Source organism: Homo sapiens, chromosome 17, assembly GCF_000001405.40.
Source record: "Homo sapiens chromosome 17, GRCh38.p14 Primary Assembly".
In the NCBI taxonomy this organism is placed as follows: domain Eukaryota; kingdom Metazoa; phylum Chordata; class Mammalia; order Primates; family Hominidae; genus Homo; species Homo sapiens.
The window spans coordinates 64,838,207-64,858,485 of record NC_000017.11 but is presented as its reverse complement, the minus strand read 5'-3'; the positions used below and the strand labels follow the sequence as shown (position 1 = coordinate 64,858,485).

General features: G+C 47.5%; 1 protein-coding gene and 2 long non-coding RNA genes across 4 annotated transcripts in view, besides 1 other annotated feature; 2 read left to right on the top strand and 1 right to left on the bottom strand.

Moving 5' to 3' along the window:
- The window catches only part of LRRC37A3 (leucine rich repeat containing 37 member A3), a 65,349-nt gene extending 60,993 nt beyond the window's left edge, over window positions 1-4,356 (top strand). For both annotated transcript variants that reach the window (NM_001303255.3, NM_199340.5), the window contains 2 exons: window positions 2,597-2,646; window positions 3,842-4,356. In NM_001303255.3, the coding sequence (NP_001290184.1) occupies window positions 2,597-2,646; window positions 3,842-3,887 (96 nt within the window). In that variant the 3' untranslated portion in view covers window positions 3,888-4,356. The remainder of the gene's footprint in view (window positions 1-2,596; window positions 2,647-3,841) is intronic.
- The window catches only part of LOC105376844 (uncharacterized), a 59,955-nt gene extending 51,280 nt beyond the window's left edge, over window positions 1-8,675 (bottom strand). Inside the window, exon 1 of the long non-coding RNA XR_934912.4 lies at window positions 8,499-8,675. This is a non-coding gene — a long non-coding RNA (uncharacterized LOC105376844). The remainder of the gene's footprint in view (window positions 1-8,498) is intronic.
- Window positions 10,386-10,435: an enhancer, noted in NCBI's record as "active region_12601". NCBI's record gives its function as "activates an Ori minimal core promoter by ATAC-STARR-seq in GM12878 lymphoblastoid cells {active_cell/tissue: GM12878}" and the evidence as "EXISTENCE:reporter gene assay evidence [ECO:0000049][PMID:35858748]".
- LOC105371860 (uncharacterized) lies at window positions 11,729-14,090 on the top strand. The gene is made up of 2 exons (XR_934918.4): window positions 11,729-11,809; window positions 13,416-14,090. It is a non-coding gene; the product is annotated as an uncharacterized LOC105371860 (long non-coding RNA).
- Window positions 14,091-20,279: the final 6,189 nt, after the last annotated feature.

Genomic DNA, 20,279 nt, shown 5'->3' with positions numbered 1-20,279 from the left:
GGATGTACTCACCAAGTCACCCTTACTCTGCCACTAAATTATTTCCTTGTTGCTGAAATGATGAGAGAGGTATAATCTCCACCCTCACGGAGTTGTCATCACCCTGGAGAGGAAGGAGAGAGCCAAAAGACAGAAGTATTGTCTTGTAGACTTATTAGATTTACACAGTATCGTCCTCCAGTGTGTAAGGCATTGTCTAAATAGGTCCAGTTAAAGCACTACAGAGTAGCCATCTTTTACAAAAATTGTTGGCCACATTTTTAAGTTCACTGGTGAGGGGGAACATCTCATACTCTAGCCCTCCTGAGCCTAGACCCTCTGTGAGATGTGTCACCATTTCTTGGACACCATGTGAGACATTCCCCCTCAGATTAGAGATGCTCAGCTTGCATCAACTTACCTAAAGCCTACATCTGGCTACTCTGGGGCAAGTCCTGTTTACAGTGCCGATTCCTGGAGCTTGCCTCTGTCTTTTGTTCGATTACATGATGTATTACTTTTCCCAACAGGCCAGTGCTAGCATATTGGAAGAGTGATTTAATAAAGCTGGCAACCTTGATGCTATGCCACCAGTCCAACCTTATTTGCCTCATTTACCATTTCCATGATTGTGGCAGCCAGCCCTCCATTCCAGCCACAGCAGCCCCTCACCAAACCCCAGTCACACCACCCGCATTTCTGCTTTTGTCTGTGTGTTTGTCCATCTAAAATGCCCTTATTTCACCCTGCCTGTGGGAGTCCTATGCATCTTTCAAAAGCCAACTCAAGTTCATCTTTCTTCTTGACACCTTCCCTGAATATTCCAGCCCTGCTGAGCCTAGTCCCTTTGTGAGATTTGTCACCATTTCTTGGACACCATATGAGAGACTTCAGAGGCTGAAGTGGGAGGATCGCTTGAGCCTGGGAGGTCGAGGATGCAGTGAGCTGTGGTCGTACCACTGCACTCTAGCCTGGGCAACACAGCGAGGCCCTGTCTTAAAAACAGCCACCACCAAAAACTATCTTGGGATTTGAATAGGATTATGTTAAATTTGTAGATTAATTTGAGAATTTACATCTGTACAACATTCTAGGAACGTGCTATCTCATGTCATGTATTCATTTCTTGTTAATGTCTTTCAGAAGAGCTTTAGTGTTTCCATATATAGATCTTACACATCTTTTGTTAGATAAAAGATCTTTGTATTTTTGTTCCTAAATTCTTCATACATTTGTATTGCCATTGTAAATGGGATCTTTCTTCCATTTTCTAATTAGTTATTGGTGGTACATGGGAAAAGTATTTGAGGTTTGTGTGCTGATTTCTTGATTTTGTAGATAGCCACTGTATTGAATCCTCATTACTTCCAGTAAAATCTTAGTTGATTCTCTTAGGCTTCTTTGGCTAACATTTATCATTTAGTATGCAAATAATGATAGTTTTGTCTCTTCCTTTCCAATACTTCTACTCTTTCCTTCCTTTCCCTTTTCCTTTTTCCTTTCCTTTCCTTTCCTTTTTTTTCCCTTCTCAGGGCCTTGTTGTCACCCAGGCTGGAGAGCAATGGTGTGATCTAGCTCACTGTAACATCAAACTCCTGGGCTTAAGGGATCCTCCTGCCTCAGCTTCCTGAGTGGCTGGGACTACAGGCAGGCAGCTAATTTAAAAAATGTGTTTGTAGAGACAAGGTCTTGCTATGTTGCCCAGGCTAGTTTTCCTGCCACTTCAGAGGAAGGACTCAGGTTTCCTTTTTCTCCTACTTTTAAGAGTTTTTATTAGGAATTATCTGTTGAATGTTATCTAAAACAGTCAATAAAATGTATTAAGTGCCAGCTGCATGCAAGACCCTAAGTTAGATACAGTCAGCCCTCTTCATCAGCAGGTCCACATCTTCAGATTCAACTAGATCAGGCTGAATATTTGAAGAAAAAAAAAACAATAAAAATACAAACAGAAAGTACAATATAACAACTGTCACCACTGTACAATATGTATACATTTTATTAGTGATGACTTAAATTACATGGGGCCAGGCATGGTGGCTCACACTTGTAATCCCAACACATTGGGAGGCCAACCTGGGCAGCATAGTGAGACCTTGTCTTTATTAAAAATTAAAAAAAAAATAGCCAGGTGTGGTAGTATGCACCTGTAGTCTCAGCTACTCAAGAGGCTGAGGTGGGCGGATCACTGGAGCCCAGGAGGTTGAGGCTACAGTGAGCTGTGATCGTGACACCGCACTCCATCCTGAGTAACAGAGAATGACACTGCACTCCAGCGTAAGCAACAGAGGGCAATCCTGTCGCTAAGTAAATAAAGTATAGGGGGGATGCGTGTTGGTTATAAGCAAATACTACACCATTATGTGTAAGGGATTGAGCATCCACAGATTCTGGTATGGTGTGGGGGCGGTATCCTAGAACCAATCCCCCGCAAGATAGCAAGGATGACTGAACTATGGAAGAATCAAAGCAGTGTTACACAGTATGCAATTCCTGTCTTCAAAAAAGTTACCTCATCAGGTAGATGAGACTTATAATGAATAAAAGGAATCAATACAGATTTGGAGATGGTGGTTGTTGTCATAGATAATCTTAATTGCGTTTTCTTCTAAAACAGATCTGTTGTCACCGAAGGTCATTACAAGAAGATGAAGAAGGATTCTCAAGGTAAATATTAGTCTGGTGATTTTTTTTTCTTTTCTTTTGAGACGGAGTTTCCCTCTTGTTGCCAGGCTGGAGTGCAATGACGCGATCTCGGCTCACGGCAACCTCCACTTCCCAGGTTCAAGCGATTCTCCTGCCTCAGCCTCCCGAGTAGCTGGGATTACAGGCATGCACCACCACTAGTCTCGCGACGTTTTAATTAGAATTTTAGAATTAGAGGAGGGCTTAGAACTCTGCCCTCATTTTTCAGTGAGGAAACTGCCCGAGACAGGACAAATACTTACTTACCCTAATGCTTAGCCTGGCTCCAGTGAAATTAGCTCCCCAGCCAAAGCTGAGCTGGATGGAACTAACAAGGACACACCTGCTGTCCCCAGCCCTTTCGGGAGGTGGGGAGGGATAGGAAGGAGAAAGGTTTTGGTGCCTATTGCTGCTGATGGTGGGCATCAGGCCAGGCCAGGGGCCTTCTTGGAGGCTCTGGGAAAGGGGAAGGGAAGGCCACCGGGTGTGAGAGAGAGGGCACTTGTCTCCTTCAAGGCTGATGGAAGGTAGGATATGTGAGTCCTTCCTCTTAAGTGGCAGGAAACAGTATTTTCTCTTTTATTTCTTTTTTTTTTTCCCCTGGATCCTAGAACTGAGGAAACACTATTTTCTCATCTTACTGGTTTTTGGGCCCCTACTCTATTCCTTTTATGCAAACCTCACAGAATTTTAACCAGAAAGGCCAGGCAGGATGGCTCATGCCTGTAATCACAGCACTTTGGGATCACTTGAGGTTAGGAGCTCGTGACCAGCCTGACCAACATGGTGAAAGCCCATCTCTACTAAAAATACTAAATTAGCTGGGTGTGGTGGCGCAGGCCTGTAATCCCAGCTACTTGGGAGGCTGAGGCAGGAGAACTGCTTGAAGCCAGGAGGCGCAGGTTGCAGGGAGCCACGATAGCACCATTGCACTCCAGCCTGGGGAATGAGCCAAACTATCTGGCTTAAAGATATGTACAAACCTCTCAGTGCCACAAGAGTAAATAATCACACATGGAAGCTGCACAAGAAGTCATCTAATGAGGACAAGATCCTCAACAGGGACCCTGGGTAAATGACGGGGCCCTCACAGTTCCCATCTAAAATGAGGAGGGGGTGAGAAGCTTAATTGCTCCTTTCAAGAATCAAAACCTTGGCATTGTTATTCTTATCCCAGGGACAGCGAAGCCCCAACGGAGGAGGAGAGTGAAGCCCTGCCATAGGAGGAGAACCCAGCCCACCTCAGGCCTCCTGCAAAAATACATAGCGTAAACAACGGCCATCAAAAAAGCAGGACTGAAGCCAGCGGCCCACACATCCACAGAGGCAGCGGGCAGAGCAAGCACAGGGCCATCGTTCCTGCCCTTGTTTCCCAGTCTAATTAGTCACCCAGACCTGAAAACATATGCTCAGGGGGTGGAGATTTTACAATTAAATAACATTGTTTTTGGTGCCCTCTCCCTTGGTTCATCAAGCACCAGTCATATAATACCACATACTTGAACTCCTGCCCACAGGGGACCTCCCATCTCCTGGCCCCTATCATAGGATCACTGGGCCTACCTGCACTGTGGGGCCAAGCCCTGTCTTTTTCCCAAGCCCTCAAGCACACGCATGAATGTTCATCCCGACTTGGTAGGGGGCTTTTCACCCTTACAAGATGGCAAAAGATTCACATTGCTTTTTTTAAAATGTGTTTTTCTTTTTAAAAATCCCAACCCTTGGATAGCAGGGAGGTGCTGGAGGGGTACAGTCAAGAAGAATGTGTAAGAACAGTAATTTCCCAAGACTGCCCTCTGAGGGACTGTATTTCAGAAAACACACTGGTGGGGCTACCTCTCCATTCACATGTACTGCCCTAGCCTCTCCCCATCCCCGGCTGATGCACATCCATAACTGCACTGTTCCATAACAGCAGTAGCATGTTGCAGAAAGCACTAGGATTCCTCCACTCCATCTTCAAAGAAAAAGTCACTAATAAATCACATTTGGTAGGTTAGTGAACGTTAAACACATTAGTGAGCAAAAGAAAATAGGAATGAACAAGAATTGGTCATCTACCTAACTGAACACAAATGAACTCTGGCAGTTCGGTAATAGGAGGTAAAGAACCGTGCTAATTGCAGAACAGCAGCCCCCCTACCTTCCCAGGAGCAGTGTGACTGGGAAGCAGCCCCGTGTGTATGCTGGTGCAGGTTCTAAGCAAAGTGAGCTGCCCATCAGTTCCGATGAGTTTGCTGATGCTAGACATATGACATCTAGACATATGACATCTGTTCTCTTGCTGCCTGCCCCAGTTATCTCCCAAAGTTCTTTACTGAGAATGAAAAGCATATTTCTCTGTGTGGTGACTTCAGTAGGCCAACAAATATTTGAGTTTAAAGCACAAGACTAAATAGTCATAGGCAGAGTAGCGCTACCATTTACAATTTGCTTACTTGATGCTAAACCGTGGGTTAGGCATTTTACAGTCACATCATCTAGCCCAGCAATTCATGGAAGCATAGTTGTTAAAATCATCTGACACTTTGGGAGGCTGAGGCGGGCGGATCACGAGGTCAGGAGATCGAGACCATCCTGGCTAACATGGTGAAACCCTGTCTCCACTAAAAATACAAAAAAATTAGCCGGGTGTGGTGGCAGGAGCCTGTAGTCCCAGCTACTCGGGAAGCTGAGGCAGGAGAATGGTGTGAACCTGGAAGGTGGAGCTTGCAGTGAGCCAAGATCACGCCACTGCACTCCAGCCTGGGCAAGAGAATGAGACTCCATCTCAAAAAAAAAAAAAAAAATCATCATCTGACAGATAAGGATACAGGGCTCAAAGAACGTAGGTGAGCTGCCCAAAGTGTCCAAAGCCACACATCCAAAGCAACAAATTAGGGTTTTAAGCTAGCACTGTTAGACTTCAAAGCCTCTTAACCATTCTACTGCCCTGCTGTAGGGCTTAGGTAGTTGGGGGGATAAGCCATGGTTGCCATCAAAGAGTTAATATAACAATAACATGCAGATGGTGAGGATGATGGCAGCTGCTGTTTATTGGCACCAGCTGTGGTCCAGGTACAGCGCTAAGCACTTTAATTACACTGTTAAGTCATCAGGACAGAAGCTCCCCACACCAGCTCTAATAGGGGTGAGTGTTGGACATAAGCAGGGAGCTGACAAGAAGCCAAGACAAGGCCGGGTGCAGTGACTCATGCTTGTAATCCCAGCACTTTGGGAGGCTGAGGTAGGTGGACCACCTGAGGCAGGAGTTCAAGACCTCCCTGGCCAACATGGCAAAACCCTGTCTCTACTAAAAATTACAAAAATTAGCTGAGGGTGGTGATGCACGCCTGTAACACCAGTTACTCAGGAAGCTGAGGGAGAGAGAATTGCTTGAACCTGGGAGGCGGAGCTTGCAGTGAGCTTATAATGGGCCACTGCACACTAGCCTGGGCAACAGAGTGAGATCCCATCTCAAAAAAAAAAAAGCCAACACTAGAGATCCTTGCACTGCTGGGCTCTCAAAGTCTGGATTCCAAGCACCTCCAGGTTTCTATTTTGGCATATTTACATAATTTCACATTTCGATGCTTATAATTTTTTTATATAACAAGAAAATTTTATGCATCTCAAATGTGTACATTTTTTTTTTCAGACAGGGTCTTGATCTGTCACCCAGGGTGGAGTGCAGTGGTGCTTCATAGCTCACTGCTGCTTCAAGCTCTTGGGCTCCAAAGATCCTCCTACCTCAGCCTCCAGAGCTGGGGGTCTACAGGCGCGTACCACCATGCCCAGCTACAATTCTTATTATTCCCAAATGCCACCCCACCATATTTCTAAAAACTCCCAAAGTAAGATTCTACTTTGCCCAGTTTGTCCTCAATTGAGCAGTTTTGTCTAAGCCCAGAGTTTCTGCTGGGCCAGAGTATGGATGAGCTGTCTCTCCCTGGCTGGTGCCCATGTCCGCCTGTAGCCTGGGAGGGGGAGTGGCGCCCAGGGTCAGGTGGAACAAAACATGACTGCCTAGGGCTCCCTCTGTCTCCATCTCACTGATTGCAAATCACAGACAGCCAGCTCTTAAGTGAGACCTGAGTGCCAGAGAGAGGTGGATACAAGGCCAACAGTTACTAAATGAATGAAAATTGTGATTCCGATGAAGCCTGCCAGAGAAATAGAGCATTTTTTAAAAGATGGAAATAAGGTGGTATCTGATTAGGGCAAACATGATGCAGACAAGAAATGCACTGGTTCAGAGGAGGGAAGGTCAGGCCGCCTGGGGAGAGTCCATGAAAAAGATGGAATGTGCCAGATGCTGTGCCTGGTGCTGGGAAAGAGTTGACTAGGCCAGCATCCCTTTCCTCAAAGGGGGGTGGCTCCTAGACTGGGGGGAGGGTTGGACATCTGAATACATCCCGAGGAGACAGTGTGGGACAGCATGGTGGCAGTGGAGCCAGCCGTGGTTCTGCTCTTGGTCGGCTGGAAAGGAGTAGATGTAAGGGATGGTTTAGAAGAAGGGAAGTGGAAGAAAAGTTTTCTGAGCTGACAAGAGGAAGGAAAGGCCTTCTAGAAGGACACTAAAAAGGCAGAGAAGCCCTAAGCAGAGTGAGCACCAGACTCCACAGGTTAAGGGCTCTGTCACACAGGACCATCCCCATGTCAGACCCCAGGTGCAAGGCCAAGCATCACCTATGCATCTGACCAACTGGCTATAAATTGGAGGTCCCCACAACTCCCTCCTCAGGTTTGAACATTTGCTAAAACAGCTCATGGAACCCAGGAAAACAGTTTTCTTACTATTGCTGATTTATTACAAAGGATATTTTAAAGGACACAAATGATGAAGCCAGATGAAGAGATACACAGGGTGACGTCTGGAAGGGTCCTTGTGGAGTTGGGGTGCACCACTCTCCTGGAACATGGATGTGTTCGCCAACCCGGAAGCTCTCCAAGTCCTGTCTTTTAAGGAGTTTTCTGGAGGCTTTATCACGTAGGCATGATTGAGCTCCAGCTCCACTCCCCACCCCAGAGGATGGGGAATGGGGCTGACAGCACAACACTTCCAACCATAGGTCTTTTTGGTGACCAGTCCCCAAATAAGGAGCCCACCAAGAGTCACCTCATGAGAACAAAGGACGCTTCTATCACCCAGAAAATTCCAAGGGATTTAGGAGCTCTGTGTCAGGAACCAGGTTTAAGGACCAAATGTTAGAACAAAAGATGTGCAACCATAAAAAACAGCGAGATCATGTCTTTTGCAGGAACACAGATGGAGCTAGAGGCCATTATCCTCAGCAAACTAAGACAGGAACAGAAAACCAAATACTGTATGTTCTTATAAGTGGGAGCAAAATAATGAGAACTCATAAACAATAGACACTGGGCCCTACCTGAGGGTGGAGGGTGGGAGGAGGGAGAGGAGCAGAAAAAACTATTGGGTACTAGGCTTGGTACCTGGGTGATGAAATAATCTGTACAACAAACCCCCATGACACAAGTTTAGCTATATAACGAACGTGCATATGTACCCCCTAACCTAAAAGAAAAGTTTAAAAAGGAAAAAACACCTAGGAGAAAAGAAAAATGATAAACTAACAAAGGACAATGCTCTTAGCACTGCCATCATTCAGGAATTTTCAAGGGTTTTGGGAGCTTTGTGTTAGGAACTGGGGGCAGAGACCAAATATATATTTCTTCTTATGTTACACTACCCCAGATAGGAAAACAGAAATTACTCTAGATATTTCAAACAAAAAAGGGTTGTATATAGGCAATTAGTGCTTATCACTGGAGGGGCTAGAGGTGGTGAAGGTTGTGGGGATGGGGTTGCACCACTGGCTTTCAGGCTACTTTACCACAGCTGATTTCCAGAGGATGGAAGAAGTCAGGAAACTTGGGAAACTGCTGCTGAGGTCCTTGCAGCCCCACGGTCCCCAGGCTGGTGACTGGTGGGGGAGTATGGAGTCCAGCTGACCACCAGAGCCTGCACACCTGCTGCTATGGGGGAGGAAAGGATGACTTCTACCTCCTTTCCACATCCCAAATTCCACGTGACTACATTTTATTGGCAGCACCCCGCTGGCAAGCGAGCCTTGATGTGTGCTTCCTGGGCTTCTGGCACCTGCACAGAAAGGGGTGAAATGAGTGTCACGAGCAGCCACCACTCTGCATCACACCTCCACATCCAGGTGTGCTGGAGAGCCCCACTTACACTTGGAGGTGTCCTGGCACACTAACCCACTTTTGGTAGGTGTTTGGGTGTCCAAGGCTTTGCAAAAGAAGAAGGCGGGGAGTCTACGGTGGAGTCACATGGTGGAGACCTAGCTAAGTCAGAGGCCTGGAGAGGTGTCACTAGCTGGGCAGCAGGTAACACACAATCATCCTGAGCTGATTGGAGAAACACCTGGGATTGATTCAGAGATTTTTCTGGAATGTTTTCACTGGAATGAAAGCTGAGCGGTCTACAGGCCATATAGTATTGGAGACAACTTAGCCCTCATTGAAAAAGTCTGCCAGAGAAAAGGTATCCACAGGGAAATTCAGGAGTTTTGTTTGTTTTTTCTTTTTTTTTTTTTCTTTTAAGGTGGAGTTTTGCTCTTGTTGCTCAGTCTGGAATGCAATGGCACGATCTCAGCTCACTGCATCCTCTGCCTCCTGGGTTCAAGCAAGTCTCCTGCCTCAGCCTCCCTAGTAGCTGGGGTTACAGGCATGCACCACCATGCCCGGCTAATTTTTGTATTTTTAGTAGAGACGGGGTTTCCCCATGTTGGTCAGGCTGGTCTCAAACTCCTGACCTCAGGTAATCCACCCGCCCTGGCCTCCCAAAGGGCTGAGATTACAGGTGCGAGCTACCACGCCTGGCTTGTTTTGGGTTTTGGGGTTTTTTTGTGTTTTGTTTGTGTGTTTGTTTGTTTTTGGAGACAGTCTCTGTCACCCAGGCTGGAGTGCAGTAGCGTGATCTCGGTTGACTGCAACCTCTGCCTTCCAGGTTCAAGTGATTCTCCTGCCTCAGCCTCCCGAATAGCTGGGATTACAGGCGCCCACCACCATGCCTGGCCAATTTTTTTTTTTCTAAAAACAGTTTCAGCATGTTGGCCAGGCTAGTCTTGAACTCCTGACCTCAAGTGATCCACTCACCTTGGCCTCCCAAAGTGCTGGGATTACAGGCATGAGTCACTGTGCCCCGCCAGGAAATTCAGTTTCTGAAAATACACCTGTGGATCTCTAGCCTTGAACATCCTTGGATGCTGCTTTAAATGACTGATCCTCGATGCCTCCCTTCTAACTCACACTCCCCTATATCAATCTCCCAGAAAAAGGGACCTCTTTTATTCTTTTTTTTTTTTTTTTTTCCAGAGACGGGCCTCACTTTGTTGCCCAGGCTGGTTTTGAACTCCTGGCCTCAAGTGATCCTCCCGCCTTGGTCTCTCAAGGTACTGGGATTACAGGTGGGAGTCCCCGCACCCAGCAAAGCCTGTATTAAACCCGTTTATGCACACTCGGCGGTACTGCAGAAACGGCAGGGAGGAAGCAGAGGTGCCCTGACATCTTCAGCTGGAGGTGAGCAGGGCGCTGAGGGTGGGAGAGGCCCGGCGCCTGGGGATGGGAGGCAGGACAGCACCTTCACAGGGACGCTTCCACCCTACCCCGGAGGTCAGGGCCTCTCGCCCAGCTCTGGCTCTGAGGTCCTGGAGGGAGGGAGATGCTGTTGCGACTCAGAAGATTGGGGGAGGGACACCCCCATTCGAGAAGAGTGAAAATCCTGAGCCTGAAGAAATGGAACCGGTTGGAGCCTAGGCTTTAGAGGATGGCGTTCGAAAGAGGGTTTGGCGCCCCCCTGTGGACCGTTCGGGCTCGCAGGGCCGAAGGCTCCGAAGACTGAGACCTGTGAACCATGGGGAGGCTCCATGCGGATGCGGGCCACAGCCCCCGCCGGAGCCCCCACACTAGCCCTGGACTTCTCCACTGGCTTACGACATGAGAGCTCAATATGCTCCTTATTTAACGCACTGTTGTATCAGGTCCCTGTGGGAGCCACTGGCTCTATGGCCTAATAAAGGAGCGGGTGCACGCACTGGATTGGTGAGCTACCGCCACTGCAACGCGTCCTAATCAACCATCCTAAACGGCGGCTGGAACAAGGTTCTCGCAGGCCTGTGCTTGGGCTTGAACGCTGGTCCAGCCGCTGCGCTCTGTGGCTCCCTGTAGGCCTGCGGATCAGCCAGGGGCCTCCGTTCCTTTTGGGCGGAGGCTGAAGAAGCAGCGGCTGCACCAGAGAAGGCCCTCTGGGTGAAGGTGGGAGCGCACGGGGCCCGCGGAACCACCTAAGGCGACTTCAGACGTGGGCTCGGAACTGGCAGCCTTTGGTTTCTGCTTCATTCCAAGGCCAGAGCAATCCACATGGGCAAACCCAAAGCCAGGGGACAGGAAAGTATCCTCCACCCACAACGAAACCATGGCAAGCGGTGGATGCAGGTACCGCCAATAGTCTATCTATCCCGGTGAGTGAGGAGACCTGCTTTGAGGGTTGCACAACCTGGATCTGCTTTTACAGTGGTGTCTATCACTATGAAGACTCCACCATGGGTCGCCATCAGGTCAGGGACCCTGACAAGGCAAGAACTGCATCTTCCTCTGCACACAGCTCTGCTCCCTTCCCCGCCATGCCTAACACCAAGCCCAGCCCTGAGGGATGACTCAGGAATATTACTGAGAGCGTTTTAGGCCATTCCTTCATTATCCCCATGTGACTTGTTATGAAATATAGACTGACTTCCTGAAGATCAGCACATAGTGCTAAGTATTTGGCTTGTAATCTGTAGAGACTCTGCCATTTGGAGCTGGGATCTGTCCCCAGAGCTGTCAGACACCAAATCCCGTATCTACTGCCACCCAAAGGGACCTCCAGAAGAAAGGGGTTATACAGGGTCAAACACCAAGGCAGGTTAGTGAAATTTCTCTAGAGGCCATTTAAAGCTGGAGTCTCACCACCTGAATTGCCCTCAGAGGAAGGCTGTCTAGGGCACAAACCTAGTCAGGGGTCCACATGGACTTAAGGACAATTTTTTTTTTTTTTTTTTTTTTGAGAAACTCTCATTCTGTCATCAAGGCTCGAGTACAGTGGTGTGAACTCAGCTCACTGCAAGTCTCAACCTCCTGGGCTCAGGTGAGTAGCGGGAACCACAGCCTCCCACCTCAGCCTCCCGAGTAGCGGGAACCACAGGCTCATGCCACGATGCCCAATTAATTTTCTTTTAAATTTTTTGTAGAGATGAGGTCTCCCCGTGTTGCTCAGTCTAATCTTGAACTCCTGGACTCAAACGATCCTCCTGCCTCTGCTCCTCAAAATCCTGGGACTACAGGTGTGAGCCAACGCACCTGGCCTCTTAAGAATAATTTTAAAAACAATGAGGTTCACCGTCAGAGCCCCTGCTGCTCTACCAAGTCCCTTGGCCCCTCTCAACAGGGCAAAAGCAAGATGAGCCCCAGATGTTCTGCTTAATGACCACCTTTCCCAGGAGACTTTGCTCTTTAAAGGAGAACCACTTAGAGATATGAGCAACCTTAAAGAATGCCACCAGCACTAGTGAATGCCAGACACGGGCCATGTGGGTGGAGAGTATATTTTAGGGCAGTCACTCATGGTAAATTATTTCCACCAGCCCCCAGAAGTGACTATTCAATGTCCAACTATGTCAGGCCCAGGCTAATAAAAGTAGAGGCATGAGGAACCTAGGGTTGTTCTGAAGTGCCTTGATTATGGTATATGTGGAAGATTTTAGAGCTTGTTGTAAAAAGTGATGACCCATGGCCCCCCAGGCTGGGTCTGGGATTGCCTTTGTGGATTACAAGAGGATATTATGCAGCAGTTTTTAAAAATGAGGCAGACTGGGACAATCTATCTCCAAGATGCATAGGTGCCGTTAAGGGAACAAAGCAAGATTTAGTAGGGCGTGTATAGTATGCTACTGTGCGCTGTGCGTTATCTGTACAGAACTGTGAGGTCTGATACAGTAGCCACTAGCCACATATGGCTATTTACATATAAATTTAGGTTGGCCACAGTAGCTCATGCCTGTAATCCTAGCACTTTGGGAGGCCAAGTGGGAGGATAGCTTGAGGCCAATAGTTCAAGAACACCCTGGGCAACATAGTGAAACCCCTTTTCTACAAAAAATTTATTTATTTATTTATTTTTATTTTTTTTGAGACGGGTCTCACTCTGTCACCCAGGCTGGAGTGCAGTGGCGCAGTCTCAGCTTATTACAACATCTGCCTCCTGGGTTCAGCGATTATCGTGCCTCAGCCTCCAAGTAGCTGGGACTACAGGCACGCACCACCATGCCCAGCAAATTTTTGTATTTTTGGTAGAGACAAGGTTTCGCCATGTTGGCCAGGCTGGTCTCGAACTCCTGACCTCAGGTGATCTGCCCGCCTCAGCCTCCCAAAGTGCTGAGATTACAGGCATGAGCCACTGCGCCCAGGCAAAAAATTTAAAATTGTAAAAATCAGCCAAACATGGTGGCATTCATCTGTAGTCCCAGCAACTTAGGAGGCTGAGGTGGGAGGATTTCTTGAGCCCAGGAGGTCAAGGTTGCAGTGACCTATGACTGCACCACTGCACTCCAGCCTGGACAACAGAGTGAGGCCCTGTCTCAAAAAATAAATAAATAGGAGTTTGAGGCCATGTTCACACATCACTGCAGTCCAGTCTGGTAAACAGAGCAAGACACTGAGTCTTTAAAAAAAAAAAAATTTTTTTTTAAATTCAGCTCCTAAGACACACTAGCCACATATCAAGTGCTCAACTGCCCCGTGTGGCTAATGGCTTCCAAACTGGCAGCACAGGCAACTGTTTTCATCACTGAAGTTCTGTTGGACAAGAATACCTCTGGAAGCACACACGAGAAACTGGTAATGGCGGTTGCCTTCGGGGAGGGAAACTGGGAGAGTGCAGGGCTGTATGCCCTTTTGTACCTCTTGAATTTCATATCATGTGTTTGTACTAGGTGTTTACAAATTATTTTAAAAACATACTGGGAATTAGGAATCCCCGTATGGAATCACTGCAGTGGGACACTGATTCCCAAAAAATTACTTTGCAATTTGCCTAAAACAAATTAAGCTAATAGCTATCATGATTTCATATTTAATATTTTTTCCCAGCTTAGAGTTTTTTTTAGCTCCTGTTGCTATCTCTCTGCTCTTATGAGCTCACAGGGTGACAAAGTGAATTAGTAAGTAGCAGGAGAACATTAAAGGAAAAACTCCTGGGCAACAGGGTAAAACGCCGGCTCTACAGAAAATACAAAACATTAGCCAGGCATGGTGGCATGCACCTATGGTCTTAGCGACTTGGGAGGCTGAGGTGGGAGGATCGCTTGAGCCCGGAAGGCGGTAACTCAATCCCAGCAGAATCCCAGGGAGCGAAAGTGGCTCATCCCAAAGGAAAAACAAGAAGGAAATTATATTACCAGAAGACAAAGGGATGAAATGAGGGATGGAGAATCAAAGACTGAAGCTACTAGGGTTTGTTTTTATTAATATTTAATTTTTTCAGAGGCGAGGGTCTCACTATGTTGCCCAGGCTGGTCTTGAACTCCTGGCCTCAAGCAATCCTCCTGCCTGAGCCTTCCAAGTTGTTGGGATTACAGATATGAGCCACTGCATCCAACTTTGGTTTTTGTTTGTTTGTTTTGTTTTGTTTTGTTTTTTTGACAGAGTTTTGCTGTGCCACCCAGGCTGGAGTGCAGTGACTCAGCCTCGGCTCACTGCAGCCTTGACCTTCTGGCCTCAAGTGATCCTCCCGCCTCAGCGCCACCCCCCACTGCCCTCCAATATCTGGGACTACAGGTGCGCGTGACTGCACACGGCTAATTTTTAAATTTTTTGTAGAGATAGGGTTTCGCTATGTGGCTCAGGCTGGTCTCCAACTCCTGGACTAAGCGATCTGCCTGCCTTGGCCACCTCCCAAAGTGTGAGCCACCGTGCCCACCCATTGAACATTGAAGCTAGACTGGGCAAACCCTTAAGCCTAAACCAGTAACAGTTTTTCACAGGTTCATAGATGTTACTGTGGTTAATAACACACAAATTCATTTAAAAGCATGTGTGTCCGCATAGTAATTTTTGGTCCTTATTTTTATTTTTATTTTTCAGTTAATGGATATTAAAGATACAACTTTATTTTCTTTTTTTTTGAGACAGGGTCTCACTCTGTCGCCCAGGCTGGAGTGCAGTGGCATGATCAGAGCTCATTGCAACCTCCACCTCCTGGGTTCAAGAGATTCTCCTCCCTCAGCTTCCTGAGTAGCTGGGATTGCAGGTACATGCAACCACACCTGGCTAATTTTTGTACTTTTTGTAGAGATAGGGTTTTACCATGTTGCTCAGGCTGGTTTTGAACTCCTGAGCTCAAGTGATCCACCTGCCTCGGCCTCCCAAACTGCTGGGATTACACACGTGAGCCACCACACCCGGCCTAAAGATATAATTTCTATCATGAGGAGGTCCAAGAACTATTCTCTTTTTCTTTTTTTAATGTTAGAAAGGGATTCTTAACTGAGTATGTGCTGCAGCAAAGGGAGGGGAAATTAAGCAAGAAGAGAAGGGAGCCAGGAAATAAAGGCCCCAACCCAGGAAGCAGTTAAGCAAAGTTCCAGGATGACCACATGTGACAAGTTTAGGGGATAACTTGAGCACATGGAGGACAGAACTTGGAGAGGGCACTGTGGGCCTGGGCGCCACCTGCTCCGCCAGAGCACTGGAAGAGAACAAGGGCACGATAATGGCAGATGGCACTGAAAGAAAAGGAGAGCTTGAGGCACCCTTGGGGGAAGCAGCCATCATCATCAGAGTGTATTTTATTTTTATTTTATTATATTTTGAGATAGAGTCTCACTCTGTTGCCCAGGCTGGAGTGCAGTGGCATGATCTCAGCCCACTGCAACCTCCACCTCCCAGGTTCAAGTGATTCTCTGCCTCAGCCTCCCAAGTAGCTGAGACTACAGGGGGGCACCACCACACCCGGCTAATTTTTGTATTTTTAGTAGAGATGGGGTTTCTCCATGTTGGCCATGTTGGTCTTGAACTCCCGACCTCAGGTGATCCGCCCACCTTGGCCTCCCAAAGTGCTGGGATTACAGGCATGAGCCACCATGCCTGACCTCACAGCACATTATTAAGCTCTGTGGTGAATAATATTTATATAGTCACAATTCTGTAAACATGGTTCATTTTCTACAAATTGTGGCATACCCAAACCTCAAGAATGGACAGGGCTGGGGTGTAAAAGAGCTAAGTCCTTGCCAGGTTTACCAGGAAGGCAACAGACAGTGTCTAAAACTATGAGACAGCTGGGCGCGGTGGCTCACGCCTGTAATCCCAGCACTTTGGGAGGCCAAGGCGGGTGGATCACGTGAGGTCAGGAGTTTGAGATCAGGCTTGACAACATGGTGAAACCCCGCGTCTACTAAAAATATCAAATTCGCTGGGCATGGTGGCAGGTGCCTGTAATCCCAGCTAGTAGGGAGGCTGAGGCAGGAGCATTGCTTGAACCCAGGAGGCGGAGGTTGCAGTGAGCCAAGATGGCACCACTCCAGCCTGGGTGACAGAGCGAGACTGTGTCTCAAAAAAATAATAAAATACAAACAATGAGACGTGCAGGAGATGTGGGGAGAAGCACCAGAAGATTCTGCTGAAAGCCTGCTCCCCAGAAGGGTGGGAACAATGGGGACAATGAACTGCTGTTGTTCGTTATGTTTCATCCCCATTCCGTTTCATTTTATTGAATTGTAAACCGTGTGTATAACAACACTTTTTAATCAATTTTTTAAAAAAGAGAGAGTGGAAAGAAACCGCTTCCTACAACAGAACTGAAGAGCACACCAGTGATTCCAGTGTCCAGAGAGGAGGGTGCATTAACATTAGTTTTATTATTTCAATCAGACGCCAAGCAAGAATATATCTGGGGTTCAGACAAGAAAGGCTCTCATTCAGGTGCTTACAAGAGCAATGGAAGGCAAGGACCTGCCCAATTGGCAGGGTGAAAATTAGCCACAACTAGAATAATAACAACTGTTCATCTTTGAGCACTTACTACAGGCCAGAACTTGCATTAAGGATATCATCTTTTTCTTTTCTTTTTTTCTTTTCTTTTTTTTTTTTTTTTTTTGTTGTTGTTGTTGTTTTGGAACAGAGTCTCACTCTGTCATGTAGGCTGCAGTGCAGTGGCGCAATCTCAGCTCACTGCAACCTCAGCCTCCCAGCTTCAAGCGATTCTTGTGCCTCAGCCTCACAAGTACCTGGGACTACAGGCATGAACCATCATGCCTGGCTAATTTTTGTATCTTTGGTAGAGATGGGGTTTCACCATGTTGGCCAGGCTGGTTTCGAACTCCTGGCCTCAAGTAATCCACCCACCTCAGCCTCCCAAAGTTATGGGATTACAGGCGTGAGCCACTGTGCCCAGCCAGGATATCATGATATTTACTCCTCACATCAACTGACATTAGCCCCTATTTACAATGAGGAACTGAGGCTCAGAGAGGTTTTGGCACTTGCCTGAGGTCACACACTCTGGGCTCTCTGCTTGGGGCTGAGGACCAAGAGGCGGTGTGACTTACTTCTCTTTCCTGAACATCAATAAAATTCAATTTAGAAATTTCTGTCTTCACTGCTATCTCAACGGGCCTGTGAAAAATGCTGATTTGGTGGCAGCTGTCAGCTGTCTTAGCCCCATACTCATTGGGTTGCCCTGGGCCCCACACTGTTTTAAGGAAGTCCCAGCAAACAATATGGGATAGAGATGAGATTCAAACCTAAACAGCCCTGGCTCTAAAACCCACTGAACAAAGCTGAAACTAGAATCAGAAAGAACTAGGTAAGAATCCTACTTCTAGCACTTAATACTTCTGTGGCTGTGGCTCCCCCGCAAGTTACTTAACCTCTTTTTTTTTTTTTTTTTTTTTTTTTTAAGAGATGAAGTCTCGCTCTGTCACCAGGCTGGAGTGCAGTGGCGTGATCTCGGTTCACTGCAACCTCTGCCTCCTGGGTTCAAGCGATTCTCCTGCTTCAGCCTCCCAAGTAGCTGGGACTACAGATGCGCGCTACCACACCCAGCTAATTCTTTGTATTTTTAGTAGAGACAGGGTTTCACCATGTTGGCCAGGATGGTCTGGATCTCTTGATCCACCCACCTCGGCCTCCCAAAGTGCTGGGATTACAGGCGTGAGCCACTGCACCTGGCCACTTAACCTCTTTTAAGCCTATTTTCTCATCCATACAATGGAGATAATGGCAGCACCCACCTTTCAGGTGGCTGGTAAGGCATATTAGGTGAACACAGGTGCCTATGTAGGTTCTTCCATTTTCCATAAATGTTAATTCCCTTATCCCTCATCTCCTAGGTTAGTCCCGGAGGACAGACTTGAACTTTGAAAACAGAAAGTAACTGCCAAAAGGGATTATTTAGGGCACAGATTCCCCCCTTTCATTATCCTTTAGGTCCTCAGTGTGAGGGCAGGGGACAGGAGCGGTGGGGTCAAGCCCAAATTCTTGGACCTCATCCTAGAGTGACTCTTTAGGGTTAGTGTGGGGCTTAGGAATCTGCATTTTGGACCTGTCCCCAGGGCATTCTGATGCCTACAGTTCTCCTGTCTGGCTTTGAATAACGCTGGGTAGTGCTTTAAATCTAAGCTGACAGACCAGTGGGATGTGAACCATCCTTGCAAATGGTTTGAGCCCTTTCTGCACTGGCCTCCAACTTTGCCTTGCTCAGTCTTCAGCTCCCCTTCCATTCTGGCCCTCTCCCCTTCCCCTTTCCTTTTTCACTTCCTTTTATTTTTATTTATTTTTATTATTATTAAAAAAATTTTTTTTGAGACAGGATCTCACTCTGTCGCCCAGGCTGTAGTGCAGTGGCATTATCTTGGCTCACTGCAATCTCCGCCTCCCGGGTTCAAGCAATTCTCATACCTCAGCCTCCTTAGTAGCTGGGACTACAGACGCACACCACCACACATGGCAAATTTTTGTATTTTTAGTAGAGATGGACTTTCACCATGTTGGCCAGGCAGGTCTCGAACTCCTGACCTCAAGTGATCCACCAGCTTCAGCCACCCAAAGTGCTGGGATTACAGGCATGACCCACCGCGCCCAGCCTCCTTTTTCACTTCCCACCTTCCTCCCCACCTCTGGGTGCACCCTTCCCTGAGCTCAGCCTGTATTCCTATCTGCTGGCCACTTACCAGCCAGTCCCTTCAGCTGCAATACCCTTTACTCACCTAGAAAGCTCATATCAAAAGTAGCCTCCTCCAGAATACCTCTCAAGTTCTCCTCTCTGGTCCCTTGGCCCTTTGCAGGTACCTTTTTTCTTGCGCAAGTCACATGATAATGTAAGGGTTTTTTTTTTTTTTTTTTTCCCTATCTGGAGCCTGCCTGGTGGGCTCAGGGTCCATTTGTGCAAACATGCATTTCCCTCTCCTCCGCCCCCCTCCTTCATGATCCATGCTTTATGCAGCTTCCCCAAGGCATGCAGAGCAAGCTGAGAAGAGGTAGACAAGCCTGCAGACTTTTCAAAGAAGCAGGGTAGCTTGGGAGGTAAGAGAAGACCAGGAGATAGGGGCTCCTAAAAAGCAGACAAGAGATTACCGGGGGGTTCCCCACACTCCAGCACACAGCCGCTGCACAAAAATGCAGTGGAATTACTGAGGGACATTATGTGCTTGATGGGGGGGGACAGGGAATGCTTGTGCCAAGCCACCAAGGATCATGCTGTGCCAGTTGTATACTATCGTTTTGCCAAGGTGAAAGGATTTCCCTACTAAATCCCTTACTTTCCACTTTGTTTAAAATGAGTTTAACACCGAGAGAATAGTTTGTCTCTATGTCCTTATTTCTAATCTTCCTGCTCAACCATTAACTGCACTAAACACACTCAGACCCATCTAGTCTAAAATTGAGAAGGGGAGGTTCTCACTCCTGGAGAGAGAATTACTGAAAGGGCGGCCCTCATACAGTCCAGGGTCATACCCCCAAGTGCTGGTTTTATACTTGAAAGCAGACAGTGGGACTCTGACCTTTGCAGAGATAAGAGGGACACCTTCCTACCCAGAGAAGCCAAAAGAGCACAGGACGCCCAGGCCGAGGGCAGTGAAGCTTGCTTCCAAGAACTGGCCCGTTCCCCAGCCAACCCCTGTGCCCACTTACGACTGGCATGTAGCAGTACCTCTCCTCATCCACACTCAGGCCCTAGGCTCCCAATTGACCAAAGCCTGCAAGTATAAAGTGTCCAGAGCATGGGTCCCTGCCAACACTCCCTGCCCTGCTCTTCACTACCTGTGGCCACCACTTATGACATTTTGTTCCGAGTTCATCTGAAAGAGAAATGTCACTTTTGCGTTAGAAAGAAGATATACAGGCCAGGTGTGGTGGTTCATGCCTGTAATCCCAGCACTTTGGGAGGCCGAGTCAGGAGGATCGCCTGAGGCCAGGAGTTGGAGACCAGGCTAGGTAACACAGTGAGACCCTGTCTCTACAAAATAAATAAATTTTTTTAAAAATGAAAAGATTGGCCGGGCGCGGTGGCTCACGCCTGTAATCCCAGCACTTTGGGAGGCCGAGGCGGGTGGATCACC